The 19458-nt window shown below is 42.8% G+C and overlaps 2 annotated features.

Annotated features, from left to right (window-relative positions):
- Positions 6520–7719: an enhancer, noted in NCBI's record as "CDK7 strongly-dependent group 2 enhancer chr14:56270173-56271372 (GRCh37/hg19 assembly coordinates)". NCBI's record gives its function as "activates an origin of replication core promoter dependent on BRD2, BRD4, P300/CBP, MED14 and CDK7 cofactors, with strong dependence on CDK7, by STARR-seq in HCT116 cells {active_cell/tissue: HCT116}" and the evidence as "EXISTENCE:reporter gene assay evidence [ECO:0000049][PMID:35650434]".
- Positions 16745–17944: an enhancer, noted in NCBI's record as "MED14-independent group 3 enhancer chr14:56280398-56281597 (GRCh37/hg19 assembly coordinates)". NCBI's record gives its function as "activates an origin of replication core promoter dependent on BRD2, BRD4, P300/CBP and CDK7 cofactors, and independent of MED14, by STARR-seq in HCT116 cells {active_cell/tissue: HCT116}" and the evidence as "EXISTENCE:reporter gene assay evidence [ECO:0000049][PMID:35650434]".

Here is a 19458-nt window from a genome sequence, read left to right on the forward strand (position 1 = left end):
CCCAAGACTCAGGGAAAAGTGTCTATTTTTGTGCTTAGGTTTGATGAAGAATGGATAGTCATGTAGAAGTATAATTGGTCAAAAAGAAGGTGTGGCCTAATGGTAATAAACTGAGGGGAACATAGCAAGGCCTGTTTGTTCTTTCCTCTGGGCATAGGGCAGGACACCTGTTACATGAGGGTCTTATGACCTACTTTCAGGGAAAGCAGGTCAAAGAATTCTCTTATGGCCAGCTGTCACACAGAAAGGAAGGAGAAGGTCTGAAAATGGCCTTCTTGTTTCTGTTTTCTTCCCAATTTCCGAGGCATTGTATTTTGCAGTAACATGTCCTGAATCCTGATGCCACTGAATTGTGTACTTGAAAAGGATGAATTTTGTGGTATGTGAATTATATCTCAATAAGATTGTTACTAATGACCCACAGATTTGTCATTAATTTCCCATGAGGTAAAGGCAGTTGTTTCTTTCCACAGATAAAACCTAATAATATCTTTCTGCAGATATATCAGGTAGCTTGTTGGCCACCTGATTTTTAACTCCTTACCATCAGGTGATATTAGGCAAGTTACTGGCTTGACTCCTGGGGCCTTATTACTCTCCTTTGAATAATTAGCACACTAATACCTACAACTAAGGGCCATGTGGGAGGTCAAATGCATTGGCCCATGCGTGAAGCCTACCACTGAGCTTAACAGATGGACAATGAGCTCAGTCCCTATCCTTTCCTCCTCCTACCTTAGAAGACCTGTAAAGCACCTGGGCCAGTGGCAAAGCAAGTTATTAGAATCTGATCACTGAGGTAGGATCCATTTCCTGGCATCTGAAATAACACATCACCTCTTGAAGCCTGTTTCTCTGCAGCAGTTCAGCATGCTTACGTTCATTAGTTGTCACAGAAAGTCCTTGTCACTTGCTCTTCGTTCTCATTAAAATCCAGAGCACAGGCTTTATGACTATTACTGAGTGCAGACAGACTCCTCCATGGCTTCCTGTTGGCCGGGTGGCTCTGCAGCCTTTCCCTCACACACAGCAGTGCACTGGCAGATGCTTCACCGCCAGTTCTCTGGGGGATATATATATTCCTGATTTGTAGCATGTGCCAATTTTCATGGTGTAAATACTCCCACCATGGCTAATTTCAAGCTACCAATGTGATATTACCGAACACAGAGTAGGGAGGAGATGGGCACAGCCAGCTCTCTCTCAAGATGTGCAAATGTGCCCCAGCATACCGCTGCCTTTGTGGGATAATTAAACCATCACTGCTTAGCAGAGCTTGTAGGCAGCTACTAGACACAACTGCTTAGAAAGAAAGGGGTTTCCTCACATGAATTTTCACAGCATGGCACCTCTGCTGGGGCTTCTGATTTCTGAGAGCTCAGCATGTAACACACAAAATTATGAGCTTGAAGCTAGGGTTGAAAATCTGCACAGGGATTTAGGGAGGAGGTGAAGAGGTGGTTAAGATCCCACAGTAAGCCTGTTTTGGAGCCGTATGTATTTTCACCATGTGTGCACTGGTGTTGGAGACAGCACATTCAGGTCATTCAGAAAGCATCAGACATTATGACTTGCAGCCTGGAAGAACTGAGTTTATGCATATTTGACAAGGTCAGAATCACATAACTAAGGTCCAAGGATTACAGGATGCATGATAAAGAGGAAGGCAAAGGTGTTTGGTGAGTTGGCAGCCTCGTACACAGAAGCTATGTAAACCCAAACTAAGGAAGCCCGCAGTCCTCTGTTGGGCTGGCCCATCCCCTTTGGGGTGGCAGGTTAAAGATGGAATGAGTTTCTGAGAGCAAAAACAAATACTGATTGAGGTGATTATGGAAATGATTTTGAATGCTGAGGCTGTTTAGAGACTGTAGGATGGAATGTGGAGGTGGACGTGTGCTGTTGTTTGCTTTGAGAATCATCTGGTTAAGGACAGTGGGTTGGTTAGAGCAACCTACCTTCTATAACGAACAAACCCCGGTGATTTCATACAAACACTGTCTTTCTCACATAACAGTCAAATGCAGGAGTTTCTTGTCTGGCTGGAAGCGAGGCAGCTCTACTTCAGGTAATCATTCAGAGATCCAGGTTGACAGTGCTGTCTTCAACGTATGACTTTCAATATTTCACTGTCAACAATATCAGCCAGCAAATAGGGGAGCAGCAAGGAAGGAGAGAAGGCATACCTACTTTTAAAAAGTATTTAATTAATTATTTATTTATTTTTAGAGACAGAGTCTCGCTTTGTTGCCCAGGCTGGAGTGCAATGGTGCAATCATGGCTCACTGCAGTCTTGAATTCCTGGGCTCAAGCAATCCTTTTGCCTTAGCCTCCTGAGTAGTCAGGGCAACAGGTGTGTACCACCTAGCTTGGCCCATTTTTTATTTTATGTTTTGTAGGGACTGGGTCTCCCTATGTTGCTGAGGCTGGTTTCAAACTCGTGGCTTCAAGCAATCCTCCCGCCTCCGCCTCCCACAGCACTGGGTGTCACCAAGCCTGGCCTCCTATCTACGTTTTAACCACATCTGTTCCATTCACATTTCTCTATGGGCTCCCTTTTGCAACAGGAGCAATTCTTGAACTGAGTGAGCATTAATTGAAGACTCTGTGCCTTTATGACAAGTTCTGTGACTTTTCAATCATTGAGTAGACTCTGGCTGGGCAGCCGCTTCCCAAGAAAAGACCTGCATTACAGAGGGGAACAAAATCTTTGGTGGGCAGTAAGCTCTGTCTGCCATAGATAGGAGCAAAATGTGCCCAAAACGGTGCTAACCAAGAGTTTTCTTTTGTTAAGACTATCTGTACTTAAACAAGCTGGACAAGTTAGCATTTTATCTCATATGTTTCCTTTCAGAGGAAACTTCACATTAGTCAAGACAGTGTGGTTCTATGTTAAACTGATAGGGCCTGGTGAATTGCCCTGGGTCTCTCCCCAGCAGGGCGGTTCTTGAGGGTGTGGCCTTTCAGCACTGGGGGAGCTATTAACTGAAGGCCCCCTGCCCTTCCTTCCATAACAACTCCTCTGATTCTTAGTTCCTGAGGCTCTTGTTAAATCCACTAATTTACTAACTCACTGCCCTTGGGATTTTAATTGAAACCAGCATGAGTAACATGCTTTGGCAATTATTGGGACAAATAAAGTTTCATCCTTTACCCCCAACTAAAGTCACTTGCTAAGGATTCAAACCTATTCCATTTCTTTTCATGCCCAGAGATTTCTAGATTTATTTCCTCAGACTCAAGCCTGGAAGACAATGAACAGTAGATTAACATATTGAAAACTGATGTTTTGGCCAGAGAAAATATCTGTTCCTCAGTGTTTTGCATATGTAGGGGCACAGTGATCCACTTCATTTGTTCTCCTCATACAGAAAAGCAGACAGTTAATTTAGCTTATGGCAATCAGTGTAGATGTCAGGCAAGTGACCGGGCAAGACTGTGGTGCTGATTGCAACAAACAATGGGAGAGAAGGGCCCGGCCATGGCTTTGAAACTGCCTTTGCAAAATTATGATGGTGAGAGAAATCTGACATGGCTCATTCCATCTTGTTTCTAGCCTTACAGGGTGGTTGTCTTTGCTCATTCCTGGGTGTGGGCCAAGCTGACTTTGGGAGAAATTTATAGTTTAAATGATAATAGCCCTTCCACAGAACTAAACTGTTCTTGTAAAACTAATGAAAGGGCCACCAAGTTAGGGGGATGAAAAGGGCTAGAATTACCAGCCATTATCCTGCAGCTCATAAGATTTGCAACTTCCCCAATTACTCTTGCAGATAACATCACTATTGTAGAACCTAGGACTGGCCTTTTGAGATGTCTTTTCAGGTTTTTGCATTTCTAACAATGGGACGGCCCCACCTGGACCTGCCAACCAGTCCTGTGGCCCCCACCCAGGAACTGACTCAGCCACAATAGGACAGCTTCAGTTCTTATGATTTCCTCTCTGACCCAGCCAATCAGCATGCCCCCTACCCTAGCCCCTTGCACACCAAATTATCTTTGAAAAAAACCCTAACCTATGAGCACTTGGGGAGATTGATTTGAGTAATAACTGTCTCCTCATGTCAATTGAACTCTTTCTTTACTGCAATGCCATGGTCTTGGTAAGTTGATTTTGTTTGTGCAGCAGGCAGGAAGAACCCATCGGGTGGTTATAGCTTGCTTAGGTGAGCACTGTGCAGAGGAGCATGAGTCATCAGCTATCCCCAAGATATTCACAGCTCTGTTCAAATGTGAAGATTGGCAACTTCATACTTTTCTTTTGATGATGTTCCAAAAGCCATTTGGTGGGCTTTAATATTTGTGCCCAAGATAGTCATTCAGATGAAACCTCCTTTGCAAAAATTGTAACAGTGAGAAAATTAAGACAGTGAAAGAGACCTGACCTAACTGACTCCATCTTGCCTTTAAACTCCAAGCTGCCTTTGTTTATTCCCGGGGTAGGCCAAGCTAACTTTGAAAGGAATTTAGTTTATAGTTTAACTTTGAAACAAAGATGATAACAGCCTCTCCCCAAACAAACTCTCTCCTTGCTTGGTGTATTAGTCTGTTTTCACAATGCTATAAAGATACTACCTGAGACTGGGTAATTTATAAAGGAAAGCAGTTTAATTGACTCACAGTTCTGCATGGCTGGAGAGGCCTCAGGAAACTTACAATCATGGCAAAAGGGGAAAGCAGGCATGTCTTACATGGCGGCAGGTGGGAGAGTGAAAAGCCCAGGGGAAACTGCAATTTATAAAACCATGAGATCTTGTGAGAACTCCCTGTCATGAGAACAGCAAAGAGGAAACCACCCCCATGATCCAATTACCTCCCACCAGGTCTCTCCCTCAACACCTGGGGATTACAATACAAGATGAGATTTGGGTGGGGACTCGAAGCCTAACCATATCACTTGGAGACCAGGTTGCCTTTGTAAAACCAACAATTAGTGACAAGATTAGAGATTATGGTTCAGGAGTCTTGTAGCTACAGGCCACAAGATCACTAATCACCCCAGTTGCTCCTATAGATGGCATCACTATCATAAAGATTGGTGTTTGAGATATTTTTCAGACTCTGTATTCTGATGGATCAGCTGGTGCCACCCAGACCAGTAAACTGGCTCATCTCATGGTCCCCACCTGGGAACAAACTCAGTGCAAGAGGACAGCTTTGACTCCCTGTGATTCCATCCCTGACCTGACCAATCAGTATTCCCCATTCCCTAGGCCCCTGCCTGCCAAACTATCTTTTAAAAATCCTAGCCTCTAAATTTTCATGGAGGCTGAATAAAACTGCAATCTTCTGTTCAGCCAGCTCTGTATGAATTAAACTCTTTCTCTTTAGCAATTCCCCTGTCTTGATAAATTCACTCTGTCTAATCAGAAGCAAGATGAACCCATCAAGCTGTTACACAGCCTTCCACAAAAGACAATGGATTAATGCTACCAACTATTTCCAGGCAGCTCAGCCAGTGAGGGCTAAAAACATTGAAGATTTCTGTGTTGAAAATCCCCTCTTCCTATCTCACTCTCTATTGCCTCTCTGTAGCTTCTTTTTCCTTTTATTGTTGTCCTTGATATTTCACCAATGTGAACTTGGTAGGGAGTATGGCCCTCAGATGACAAACCAGATCCCAGACATTAGACCCTCCTAGAGTTAACACTGACCAGAGGTGTCTAATTGCCAGGATGGGGATATGCCTTGGAGCCAATTTTCTTCTACATGATTGGGGTGAGAAATTGAATGGCTCCCACAGGGCTCTAGGAATGTGGGTTTGGCTGCAAGAACTCCAAGTAGCCTGATATTATGGAGTCTTCACTGAACAAATGCATTTTCTGCACTAGTCAGGATGAAAAAATATCGATTCTTATGCAGACAAACAAGATCGAAATATTCAATTGTGTTTATTTTCTCTGAGTGACAATCCATCTATCTTTTAGTATTTCCCTTACTAGGAAAGTTTAATGTGGAAAAATACTAGAGCTCATTCAGGAACGGCAAATAGATAACATTTCACATGTGATCTCTAATAGATTGGTTGTGCCTGTCTGGAGAGTTATGCTAAGCAGAATTCTGACACTGCATCTACTTTTTGCATGAAAAACAGTCACAGTTGATTAGTAATGTCTGCCCTGGGTGCAGGAGTCAGAGCAGTAGACATGTTTACCACATTCACTCATTCATTCAGTCACCAAATATTGAGTGCCTATATTGCATGCAAGGGACTCTTCTAGGGGCTATGGCACAGTTGTAGTTGCTGAGGTTCTGTTCTAGGTAGAGGGCAGTGTTCTAAAAGCTGACTGTATTTACTATTCCTAAGTGACTCATCAATTTACAAGTCTTGATAGGTCAAATGATTCATCCAAGGCCACAAAATCAGTAAGAGTCAACAGGAACACAGGACTCTGACTTCCTTGTTGTCTACCTTGTGACCCTCTCACCATCACCTGGGTGAACTGTTTATCAGCAATTTTTATTCTAAAGCTGTAGTTGCAGAAAACTTCTTGACCTACTCCCATCTTTTTGTTCAATGGTGGACCTTCAATGTGGGCTGTAGCCTGGGAATAAGGAGACGTTTCTTCCTTCTTGGAACCTTCCATGCAGAATCACCTGCCGTTTTCAAGAATGTAACAGAGGCAGCAAAGCATGTGGAAAATTCCTCTTTGTTGGCAAAGACCAATGTGACATTTAGTTGAATGAGGATATTATTGAAAGGCCCTATAGGGGTTAACAGTGCCTGCGGGGAGTGGGAGCTTCATGGATCAAGGTATCACATGGTAGTTGGGTGAGTTTTTCCATGTCTGAATTCCAGGAAATTTTCCCTGATATGGTTCTGTTGTTCAAAGTAAGCCTGTTCTGCCCAGGGCTTTTGAAAGTAGGCGTGTCTAGATGGGTGGTGGAAGGGCACCTGGGGGGAGAGATTATATTTTCTCAGTAGAATCCAGTTTATTCCACCAGTTCCTGAGCTCCCCACTGCACACCCATACTTTGGGGAAGGGTGTGTGTGCCTCCCTGCTGGGCTTTTCATCTGAACTTCAAAGCACTGCAAAACAGACTACTCTGTCTCTTTTCCTGCCTGGTCTCCATGGAAAAATGGTGAGATCTGACCTCCTCCCAGTGTCTGAACTTCCTACTCAAAGCTTTGGAGGCCCTGGATTAAGATTCCAGGAAGGGCAAAACCCAAGCCACAAGTGGGGAAGGCTTTGTTTCATGCACATGAATCATTCTTTCAAAGAAATCATGAAGAGGCTCATTTATGTAACTGTGTCTATTTAAGGATTTTTCGAGAGGGTTTCTAGGAAGTTAACAAAAATCTGAGATATTCTAAAACACCTCTACCCATGGGGCACTGTTCTAACAAGCTCACTATCTGTCATTAGATGTAGCAGGAGTTGTTGGCGCCCGGCCCAAGTCCCCTTAGTCTATGGTGGACATCATTCATAGACAGCTCCTGTACAGGCACAATGGCTTCCTCGGCTCCCTGGATGAGAATATTCTCTGGCTGTGCTTCCTGGGAACAGACTTGAAGTGCTGGGGAATCAATACTCCAGGAGCCTCGCTCAGCCAATAAGGGACACAGTGATCAATTCTGAGATGTGTGCTGCACAGTCCCTAAGAGGGTCCCAGTAGGACTGAGTCCTGGCTGTCTGCAATTGCAAGTTTCTCATTTATACTCCTTAATTGGCTCGCTTCCCTTCCCTATCTCAACTTCCAGCTCAGTCATTGTGCATTCTGGTCACCTCCACAGAAACACTTGCACCTAAATCCTGGTCTCAGGGTTGGTTTATGGAGGAACCTAAACTAAGACCTGACAAACCTCTATGTCTTCTGCAGGGCCAAGCTGCCAAGAACTTCTTGAGGTCTGCAGTCTTCTCCTCTCTCTCTTGTTAGGTAGATGGATGTTTGCCCAGCCGGGATTTACCTTTTCCAGGGCAGGAGGCATCACAATGTGGACAAAGTAAGATCCACAACTTGATGGAGATACCAGACTGACCCAGAGAGACTGCATCATTACTAAGCCCAGCACCTGCCTGGGTGGTAATAAAGAGGGAGAGCTCAGTGTCAGTGGCCGTGAGATGACCCCCACCTGGTCATTGACACACCAGGTGGTGAGTGTGGATCAGCGTTTAAGAACATCCACATGATCCTGATGGGGGGCTAAAAGCAACTGGCTGGTTTGGGAAGACGAGTAGCTGGCAGTGCCCACTCTGTTGGGGACTGTGGGCAGAGGGAAGGTATGATCAAGAGATAGTCTCTGCTCTAGAGGAGCACAGGGTCTCTTTTCCTTGTGAAAATCAGTCTCTTTATTCCCTTTGAGTAGCTACATAAACCATCTCCTAGTGAATGCCAAATCCTCAGGCAAAATGGCCTTGTGTGCCTGGTGCAGGACATATTAACCATGTCATGGGTTTGAATCCATATTGGACCATGGTTACAACCAAAGCCAACTGACCTTCCTCCTCTTCCTGTCATAGCTGAGGTTGAATCATGTGACTTATCGGACATCTTTGTCTGCCCTACTTTTAGGTGACACAGCTAGGAAGAACAGTCACTCGTCCCCAGCCCAGCTGGAGGGCTGAGCCACGTGTCTATAGAGTATCAGTGACCTTCAGCCCCTGCTGCTTGTAACAAGTGTAGGGCCAGGTTCAGTTGTGTGGTATTGGCAGGGAAGGGGGAGAAGGAAAAGGGGGAAAGAAATAACCCTTTTGAAAGGAGTAGTCCTTATTTGAGAAATAGGAGGCATTCATTTTTGGTGCATTTCTTTCTTCCACACTTCCCTGTGGTGCCTTCAAAGGCCTGGCCTTGCCCGTGCTCTGGGCTCCTCTCCACTCCTTCAGGACCAGCTAAGCTGGAAACTAGTGAGCACTGGGAGGTGACCAAGTGCAAATGGGTTAACATGTTGCTAATGATAATAGCTAATACTTGTTGAGCGCTCACTTTGTATAGGCACTCTGCTAAGGACGGCACAAGAATTACTTTGTCTAATTATCTCAACAATCCCAGGAATTAGGCACTATAATTAGTTCTATTTTTAAGATAAGAAGCTGAGACACAAATGTTAACTTTCCCAAGATCACACTAGTAAGGAGTCGGGCCAGTATGTTTTTAACAAATGTTAATTCGGTACCTTCTATGTGGTATGAACCCCAAATATCAGAGAGAGGTCTCAGTTAATTTAGGAAGTTTATTTTGCCAAAGGACGCATGCCCATGACACAGCCTCAGGAGGTCCTAATGACATGTGCTCAAGGTGGTTGGGGCACAGCTTGGTTTTATACATTTTAGGGAGATGTAAGACATCAATCGATATATGTAAGAAGTACATTGGTTCTGTCCAGAAAGGTGAGACAACTCAAAGCGGGGAGGGGGCTTCCAGGACATAGGTAGGTAAGAGACAAATGGTTGCATTCTTTTGAGGTTCTGATTAGCCTCTTGAAAGGAGGCAGTCAGATTTGCATTTATCTTGGTGAGAAGAGGAATGACTTTGAGTTCTGTCTGTCCTTTGTACACAAGGAAATTCCTTGTGAGGAAGGTATGTAGGTTTTTTTAAAAAATTATTTTATTTTGTTTTATTTTATTATTATTTTTTAATTTAGTAGCTTTTTCAGGAACAGAATGTGAGGTAGGTTTGCCCTAAGCAGTTCCCAGCTTGACTTTTCCCTTTGGCTTAGTGGTTTTGGAATCCCAAGATTTATTGTCCTTTCACAGTGCAAGGCATTTATTCTAGGTGAACAAGACAGGCTCCCCCTCTAGCAGGTAAGGTCAGGTAAAAATCCAAGAGGCAAACCTAGGAGCAAACTCTAAGATTGTGATTAGTACCATGCAGATAATTAAAGGACTGAAGTGCTGGAGCTGCTCAGTGGCCCTTTTCACCTAGGGGATCAGAGAAGGAAGGCTTTTTAGGAAAGGTGACATTGACACTGCAGTCTTAGGTCAAGAAGCCAGCCTCTGAAGATGCTGGGGAAGAGAATTTCTGCAAACAGTTGCTGCAGACAACATAGCTGAGGCAAGGACAGAAAGGAGAGGGAGAGACTCCATGAGAAGAGGGAAGGGAGACGGGGCCCTTCCAGTGACTCCCATGTCACATTTTTCATGTGCCTTTCAAAACTGAAAGGGGCCCTGAGGCTCTCCTGTAGAAATTAGGACAGGCGGGTAGGTCTTGTGGTTAACAATGTGACGAGGACCAGGGCTCCCAGGGTGGGACCTGGTTCACACCCAGCCTGCTCCTGGGCTTGGCACTCTGAGCTCATCTGGGAGGCCAGGCTGTGCTTCAGCGTAGGAGTTACCCAGAGGTGTGGTCAGAGGGCTTTGTATCAGGCCCACGTTATCTCCACTCTTGGCAGGACAAGGTCTGCACAGCCGTCTCTGGGCTTGGTGCCAGCATCTCTCATTGAAAAACAGTGGCACTGATTGTAATGATGTTTTGCAAAGGAAACAAGAGAGAGAACGTGACGTGGGCTGAGATGATAGCTCACCACATTTCAGGCCCGGGCGAGTTCCGGTAGCAAAGGTTCGAACTCCTCCCTGAGAGTGTTTCCAGGAAACCCCAGGGTGTGAAACTATAGTGCCAGATGTTCTAGTAAAACGAAAACTTCCCAGAACAAATAATAACAATAACAGAAGGGTAAATTAGTCTCGTAGATATGAGAGAGAGTGAGCGAGCTCCAACACTGTAACTAGCAGGCACCTGAGTGGTTCTGGACAAATTCCATATGCCACATGTCTTGTTTCCTTCTATCCTCTAACCCTTCTCCTCTCTGTGATTTATGGGACCAGCCCGTCTGAACTGCTGAGAAAGCGATCTCAAAGAGGCAAGCAGCTGGCAAAAGGGGATGTGCAGCCTCCCACAAACAACACATTTCACACATTAAAAAAGACACTCCTGATGGCATGTGTAGACCACATGGTCAAGGCAAAGCTCGCCATCTAGGTCCTGAGCTATAGCTCTGTGCTATGGAAGGTGGCGTATGTGGCACACTATGCCAGCAATATCCCAAGGTGCTTGAATGGAACAGCTCTCCCAAACAGACAGAGTTGTGTGAGTTGCTTTGCAGAACAAATGCCTGAGAAAAGGGGGATACATGTGAGGGCTGAGGACTGTGAAGAGCTGTTAAGCAAACATCATCTACGTTAGGTGCTTTAAAAGTAGGTCAGGAAATTTTCATGTTCATGCCAATTCCACTGTAAACCTGGATTTCCTTAATGCCTAAGTCTTAAGATGTTCTGATAAAATCATTGCAATCTGGGCAAAGGTGAGGGTTTCACTGGGATGGACTCTCCTAGTTTCCTTGTGTTTGGTGATGGGAAGAACAATGAATGTGTCACAGATGTGCATGGGATCAAGTAGGGACTCTGTGCACAATGGTGTGTGTTGTTCCCTGCACAAAGATGTTTGGCCAAGGGGATGAAAGTGGGACTGAAACCCCTAGCCAGCATCCTTGGCAAAGTTATTTTCTCTGGTATGGGTCTGTCAGTCCAAGGAAGGGACACATTTTAAAAATTGGTTCTTCTAGCAGGATACTGTTTCTAATTCCCACAAAGATGATATTTTATGAATTCTTTTCATGAAGAAAAATACTTTCCATACCACTTTTCTATGATATGAATCTCTTCCTTCACTCCCCACCAGTTTTTTTTTTTAATTATTATACTTTAAGTTCTAGGGTACATGTGCACAATGTAAAGGTTTGTTACATATGTATGCATGTGCCATGTTGGTGTGTTGCACCCATTAACTTGTCATTTACATTAGGAATGTCTCCTAATGCTATCCCTCCCCCCTCCCCCCACTCCACAACAGGCCCCAGTGTGTGATGTTCCCCACCCTGTGTCCAAGTGTTTTCATTGTTCAATTCCCACCTGTGACTGAGAACATGTGGTGTTTGGTTTTCTATCCTTGTGATAGTTTGCTCAGAATGATGGTTTCCAGCTTCACCTATGTCCCTACAAAGGACATGAACTCATCCTTTTTTATGGCTGCATAGTATTCCATGGTGTATATGTGCCACATTTTCTTAATCCAGCCTATCATTGTTGGACATTTGGGTTGGTTCCAAGTCTTTGCTATTGTGAATAGTGCTGCAATAAACATACGTGTTCATGTGTCTTTATAGCAGCATGATTTATAATTCTTTGGGTATACACCCAGTAATGGGATGACTGGGTCAAATGGTATTTCTAGTTCTAGATCCTTGAGGAATTGCCACACTGTCTTCCACAATGGTTGAATTAGTTTACAGTCCCACCAACAGTGTAAAAGTGTTCCTATTTCTCCACATCCTCTCCAGCACCTGTTGTTTCCTGACTTTTTAATGATTGCCATTCTAACTGGTGTGAGATAGTATCTCATTGTGGTTTTGATTTGCATTTCTCTGATGACCAGTGATGATAAGCATTTTTTCATGTGTCTGTTGGCTGCATAAATGTCTTCTTTTGAGAAGTATCTGTCCATATCCTTCGCCCACTTTTTGATGGGGTTGTTTGATTTTTTCTTGTAAATTTGTTTAAGTTCTTTGTAGATTCTGGATATTAGCCCTTTGTCAGATGGATAGATTGTAAAAATTTTCTCCCATTCTGTAGGTTGCCTGTTCACTCTGATGGTAGTTTCTTTTGCTGTGCAGAAGCTCTTTAGTTTAATTAGGTCCCATTTGTTAATTTTGGCTTTTGTTGACATTGCCTTTGGTGTTTTAGTCATGAAGTCTTTGCCCATGCCTATGTCCTGAATGGTATTGCCTAGGTTTTCTTCTAGGGTTTTTATGGTTTTAGGTCTAACATTTAAGTCTTTAATCCATCTTGAATTAATTTTTGTATAAGGTGTAAGGAAGGGATCCAGTTTCAGCTTTCTACATACGGCTAGACAGTTTTCCCAGCACCGTTTATTAAATAGGGAATCCTTTCCCCATTGCTTGTTTTTGTTAGGTTCATCAAAGATCAGATGGTTGTAGACGTGTGGTGTTATTTCTGAGGGCTCTGTTCTGTTCCATTGGTCTATATCTCTGTTTTGGTACAAGTACCATGCTGTTTTGGTTACTGTAGCCTTGTAGTATAGCTTGAATTCAGGTAGCGTGATGCCTCCAGCTTTGTTCTTTTGGCTTAGGATTGTCTTGGCAATGTGGGCTCTTTTTTGGTTCCATATGAACTTTAAAGTAGTTTTTCTCCAAATCTGTGAAGAAAGTCACTGGTAGCTTGATGGGGTTGGTACTGAATCTATAAATTACTTTGGGCTGTATGGTCATTTTCACAATATTGATTCTTCCTATCCATGAGCATGGAATGTTCTTCCATTTGTTTGTGTCTTCTTTTATTTTGTTGAGCAGTGGTTTGTAGTTCTCCTTGAAGAGGTCGTTCACATCCCTTGTAAGTTGGATTCCTAGGTATTTTATTCTCTTTGAAGCAATTGTGAATGGGAGTTCACTCATGATTTGGCTCTCTGTTTGTCTGTTATTGGTGTACAGGAATGCTTGTGATTTTTGCACATCGATTTTGTATCCTGAGACTTTGCTGAAGTTGCTTATCAGCTTAGGGAGATTTTGGGCTGAGATGATGGGGTTTTCCAAATATACAATCATGTCATCTGCAAACAGGGACAATTTGACTTCCTCTTTTCCTAATTGAATACCCTTTATTTCTTTCTCCTCCCTGATTGCCTTGGCCGGAAGTTCCAACAGTATGTTGAATAGGAGTGGTGAGAGAGGGCATCCCTATCTTGTGCCAGTTTTCAAAGGGAATGCTTCCAGTTTTTGCCCATTCAGTATGATATTGGCTGTGGGTTTGTCATAAATAGCTCTTATTATTTTGAGATATGTCCCATCAATACCTAGTTTATTGAGAGTTTTCAGCATGAAGCACTGTTTAATTTTGTCAAAGGCCTTTTCTGCATCTATTGAGATAATCAATAGTTTGGTTCTGTTGATATGATGGGTTACGTTTATTGATTTGCATATGTTGAACCAGCCTTGCATCCCAGGGATGAAGCCAACTTGATCATGGTGGATAAGCTTTTTGATGTACTGCTGGATTTGGTTTGACAGTATTTTATTGAGGATTTTTGCATCGATGTGAGTTGAGAGAAGAAGGCTTCAGACGATCGATAATAACAAACTTCTCCAAGTTAAATGAGGATGTTTGACCCCATCGCAAAGCAGCTAAAAACCTTGAAAAAAGATTAGATGAATGGCTAACTAGAATAAACAGCATAGAGAAGACCTTAAATTACCTGATGGAGATGAAAACCATGGCACGAGAACTACATGACACATGCGCAAGCTTCAGTAGCTGATTCGATCAAGTGGAAGAAAGGGTATCAGTGATTGAAGATCAAATGAATGAAATGAAGTGAGAAGAGAAGTTTAGAGAAAAAAGAGTAAAGAGAAACAAAGCTTCCAAGAAACATGGGATTATGTGAAAAGACCAAATCTATGTCTGATTGGTTTACCTGAAGGTGATTGGAAGAATGGAACCAAGTTGGAAAACGCACTTCAGGATATTATCCAGGAGAACTTCCCCAACCTAGCAAGGCAGGAGAATTTCCCCAACCTAGCAAGGCAGGCCAACATTCAAATTCAAGAAATACAGAGAATGCCCCAAAGATACTCCTCAAGAAGAGCAACTCTAAGGCATGTAATTGTCAGATTCACCAAAGTTGAAATGAAGGAAAAAATGTTAAAGGCAGCCAGAGGGAAAGGTTGGGTTACTCACAAAGGGAAGTCCATTAGACTAACAGCAGATCTCTCAGCAGAAACTCTACAAACCAGATGAAAGTGGGGGCCAATATTCAATATTCTTAAAAGAATTTTCAACCCAGAATTTCATATCCAGCCAAACTAAGCTTCATAAGTGAGGGAGAAATAAAATCCTTTACAGACAAACAAATGCTGAGAGATTTTGTCACCACCAGGCCTGCCTTTCAAGAGCTCCTGAAGGAAGCACTAAACATGGAAAGGAACAACTGGTACCAGCCACAGCAAAAACATGCCAAATTGTAAAGACCATCGATGCTAGGAAGAAACTGCATAAACTAACAAGCAAAATAACCAGCTAACATCATAATGACAGGATCAAATTCACACATAACAATATTAGCCTTAGATGTAAATGGGCTAAATGCTCCAATTAAAAGACACAGACTGGCAAATTGGATAAAGAGTCAAGACCCATCAGTGTGCTGTATTCAGGAGACCCATCTCATGTGCAGAGACACACATAGGCTCAAAATAAAGGGATGGAGGAAGATCTACCAAGCAAATGGAAAACAAAAAAAAGCAGGGATCGCAATCCTGGTCTTTGATAAAACAGACTTTAAACCAACAAAGCTCAAAAGAGACAAAGAAAGCCATTACATAATGGTGAAGGAATGAATTCAACAAGAAGAGCTAACTATCCTAAATATATATGCACCCAATACAGAAGGACCCAGATTAATAAGGGGAGACTTTAACACCCCACTCTCAACATTAGACAGATCGATGAGACAGAAAGTTAACAAGGATATCCAGGAATTGAACTCAGCTCTGCACCAAGTGGACCTAATAGACATCTGCAGAACTCTCCACCCCAAATCAACAGAATATACATTTTTCTCAGCACCACATCACACTTACTCCAAAATTGACCATATAGTTGGAAGTAAAGCACCCCTCAGCAAATGTGAAAGAACAGAAATTATAACATACTGTCTCTCAGACCACAGTGCAATCAAATTAGAACTCAGGATTAAGAAACTCACTCAAAACCACTCAACTACATGGAAACTGAACAACCTGCTCCTGAATGACTACTGGGTATGTAATGAAATGAAGGCAGAAATAAAGATGTTCTTTGAAACCAATGAGAACAAAGACACAACATACCAGAATTTCTGTGACACATTTAAAGCAGTGTGTAGAGGGAAATTTATAGCACTAAATGCCCACAAGAGAAAGCAAGAAAGATCTAAAATTGACACCCTAACATCACAATTAAAAGAACTAGAGAAGCAAGAGCAAACACATTCAAAAGCTAGAAGAAGGTAAGAAATAACTAAGGTCAGAGCAGAACTGAAGGAGATAGAGATACACAAAACCCTTCAAAAAAATCAATGAATCCAGGAGCTGGTTTTTTGAAAAGATCAACAAAATTGATAGACCACTAGCAAGACTAATAAGAAAAGAGAGAAGAATCAAATAGATGCAATAAAAAATGATAAAGGGGATATCACCACCAATCCCACAGAAATACAAACTACCATCAGAGAATACTATAAACACCTCTATGCAAATAAACTAGAAAATGTAGAAGAAATGGATAAATTCCTGGGCACATACACCCTCCTGAGACTAAACCAGGAAGAAGTTGAATCCCTAGATAGACCAATAACAGGCTATGAAATTGAGGCAATAATTAATAGCCTACCAACCAAAAAAAGTCCAGGACCAGACAGATTCACAGCTGAATTCTACCAGAGGTGCAAAGAGGGGCTGGTACCATTCCTTCTGAAACTATTCCAATCAATAGAAAAAGAGGGAATCCTCCCTAACTCATTTTATGAGGCCAGCATCATCCTGATACAAAAACCTGGCAGAGATACAAAAAAAGAGAATTTTAGACCAATACTCCCCAACAGTTTTTTTTTTTAAACACTTCCAGAAATGTCTTCTGGGATCTTAATAAGTGACATACAAAACAAAGATTCAGTGGTAAAATAAATTTTAGAAATGCTGGGTTAACCACAAAAATATTTCTTTTAATTGCAGGATTTCTCAGAGCATTTATTATATGACCTGCATTATAAATTTCCCAGTGGTGGTTGCAGTGAGTAGAATTTCCCAAACATAGGTAACTGCGGTAATATGAAGGGTGGTTCCCCTCCAAAATTCATGCTGAAACTTAATTTCCATTACAACAGCGTTAAGAAGTGTGGCCTTTCTGAATTAAGTCATGAAGGCTCTGCCCTCATGAGTGGGATTAGAACCCTCACAAAAGAGTTTGAGGTTGAATGGAGTGTCCTTTTTGCCTTTCTGCCATGTGAGGACACAGTGTTTGTCCCCTCCTCAGGATGCAGCAAGAGTGCCATCTTGGAAGCAAGAGAGCAGACCTCACCAGACACCAAACCTACCATTACCTTGAGCTTGGACTTCCCAGCCTTCAGAACTGTGAGAAATAAATTTCTATTATTTATAAATTACCCAGTCTGTGGTATTTTGTTATAGCAGCACAAACAGAATGATACAATGACTGGGGAAGCATCTTAGAGGACTTGTGTTCTGTAAATACTTATAACACTGTTTTAAATTATCAGTGCTTCATTTCTTGGATTTCCAACTGGGAGAAGATTGCCCTGGGAGCAAGTCATTGTTTGTTTTATCAAATGAGAGTGAGTCAGCACAAATTTCAACCAAGTGCCTTGACTTCCTAGTAGAGTCACAGCTTCCTTCGTGGAACAGATATCATGCCTTTACAAAAGCACTGAAGGAATATTTGAGGGTTCACAAAGCCTTTAGCACATGGGAGGGCTTCTCTTTGGATGGATGCTGTGGTTTAACAGCCACTGGACAGGATCTCCATCATAGACAAGATTTTCCAAGCATCAACGACCAATGTGATTCCTTGGAAACTAAGAGGTTTGGACAATATCTAAGAAAGAGAATAGGAAGAGGTAGCAGAATTAAGAAAAAAAAAAATTTAAACTTGCTGGCAATAAAGAACCATCCAGAAAATGTCTGACGACTTCTCTGACATGAATCTTTCAAATATGAAAAAACATCTGTGACATCACCACCCCACTCCCCCACAAAAAAACAAACAAGAAACCAAAAAGGTCAGGATGTTCTATGTCCTTCTACTTCTTTCCCATGTACTTCACTAGAGTCGCTGTAGGATTGAGGGAAGTTTATGAAGGGCTAGAGTTTCTAACCAGACCTACGGACCACAGCTCTCCTTATAGCCCTGAAGACTTATAACCCAGAAGGGTAAAAAAGGCCTGACTGCCAGGTGGGTACACAAGCTCTCTGCTCCACTGACCACAGGTAGTGAGGGGGCCAGCCTGAACTCCAGCACAGAGTGGAATTTGAGAACATGTTCTGTAGCTAGTTACTGCTCCTGGAAAGCCAAATAACAACAACTTCTCAAGGCCTCTCAGGGTTGGGAAGCTGAGAAAGGAAGTCAAGGCACTTGGTTGAAATTTGTGCTGACTCACTCTCAGCTTCCCACTTCTCAGCTTCTCTGTGTGTTTGTAAGCCACATAATAAAGAATTTGGTGAGTTTTAAAAGTAATTTCCCTTTTTGTACACTGAGCTATCTCCATGAAAGAAGTTCTACAGATGTTTGAGAAGAATGACCATATGTTTTGGTTTGCGCAGACAGTCCTGGTTAGTGCTTACTGATTGATTAGCGATTGTTAATTATTTTTAGCTCCTCATTTCACTCCCCTAAGTGTCCTGCTTGGGTGATGAATTACACGATCTCCCTACTTACAAGTGGGAGAAGTGAATAGGTGGAAGAAATGCCATCATTGCCAAATTTCTAACTATAAATGGATGTTTCTCAAAGGAATGACAGGCTATCAGCTGTATCTATATCAGCTATATGTAAGAGTGTAATTAGGGACATAATGAAGATCCATTTGCAGACAACCCAAAGGGAATGATAGGAATTTTAGGACAAATGAAGGAAAACACCACCTATGTGACGTGAGCAGGTTGCAGAGAGAGAATTGGAGTTGGCTGTGATGACTGTGCAGCTATGGCTGCACCAGAGGCTGCAGCGTGGCAAAACTCATGATCAAGTGTCTTGTAATTCTTATATTTTGTTGCCCATCAAATTCTATACATAGAAATAATACCAAGAAAGGTCCAGGAGGGAGGAAGCAGTGGGCTGTCTATGCCACCCTGCCATTATAGGGAGTCTGTTCTCTGTTGCTCCTGATTTGAAGTTCAAAATACTCTCTCAGATTCCCTCATCACCCTCACAGGCAAACACTTTCTCTGGGAGCTGAGCAGGGCTATTTGTAGGCGACTGTACTCTGATCACCATTCCATCTCTTCCAATCTGACTTGCCTCTGCCATGAAAGCCACGTTAATTATCAATATATAGGCCTTACAGTCCCCAATTCACCCTGCAACTTTCAATGTCTACCATACGTGCTGTAATGGATGGAATTCCTGTATTCATTTCTTTACAATGAGTACTATTAGGCTTTCTTATTAGAGGGCACTGGAGGACACTGTAGAAGAAAGAATCTCCTGGCCACTTTCTGCTGCTGCACAGTTGATGATGGGGTGGGTGCAATGACATCTAATGGTGCTTTGTCTTAGACATCAGCCCAGAACCCATGGCCCTTTGGCAATCTTGTGACCTGGCCTACCTTGGGGATCACCTTCCCACAGCCCTCCCAACATGGACATTGTGTACTCCAGGCCTCCTACTCACAGTGGTTCCCCAGCTCCCTCTGTGAGCCCTCCACCAGCTGGCCTTGCTTGCTCTCTAAAAGAGCTGTTT

Source organism: Homo sapiens, chromosome 14 (genome assembly GCF_000001405.40).
Source record: "Homo sapiens chromosome 14, GRCh38.p14 Primary Assembly".
NCBI lineage: Eukaryota > Metazoa > Chordata > Mammalia > Primates > Hominidae > Homo > Homo sapiens.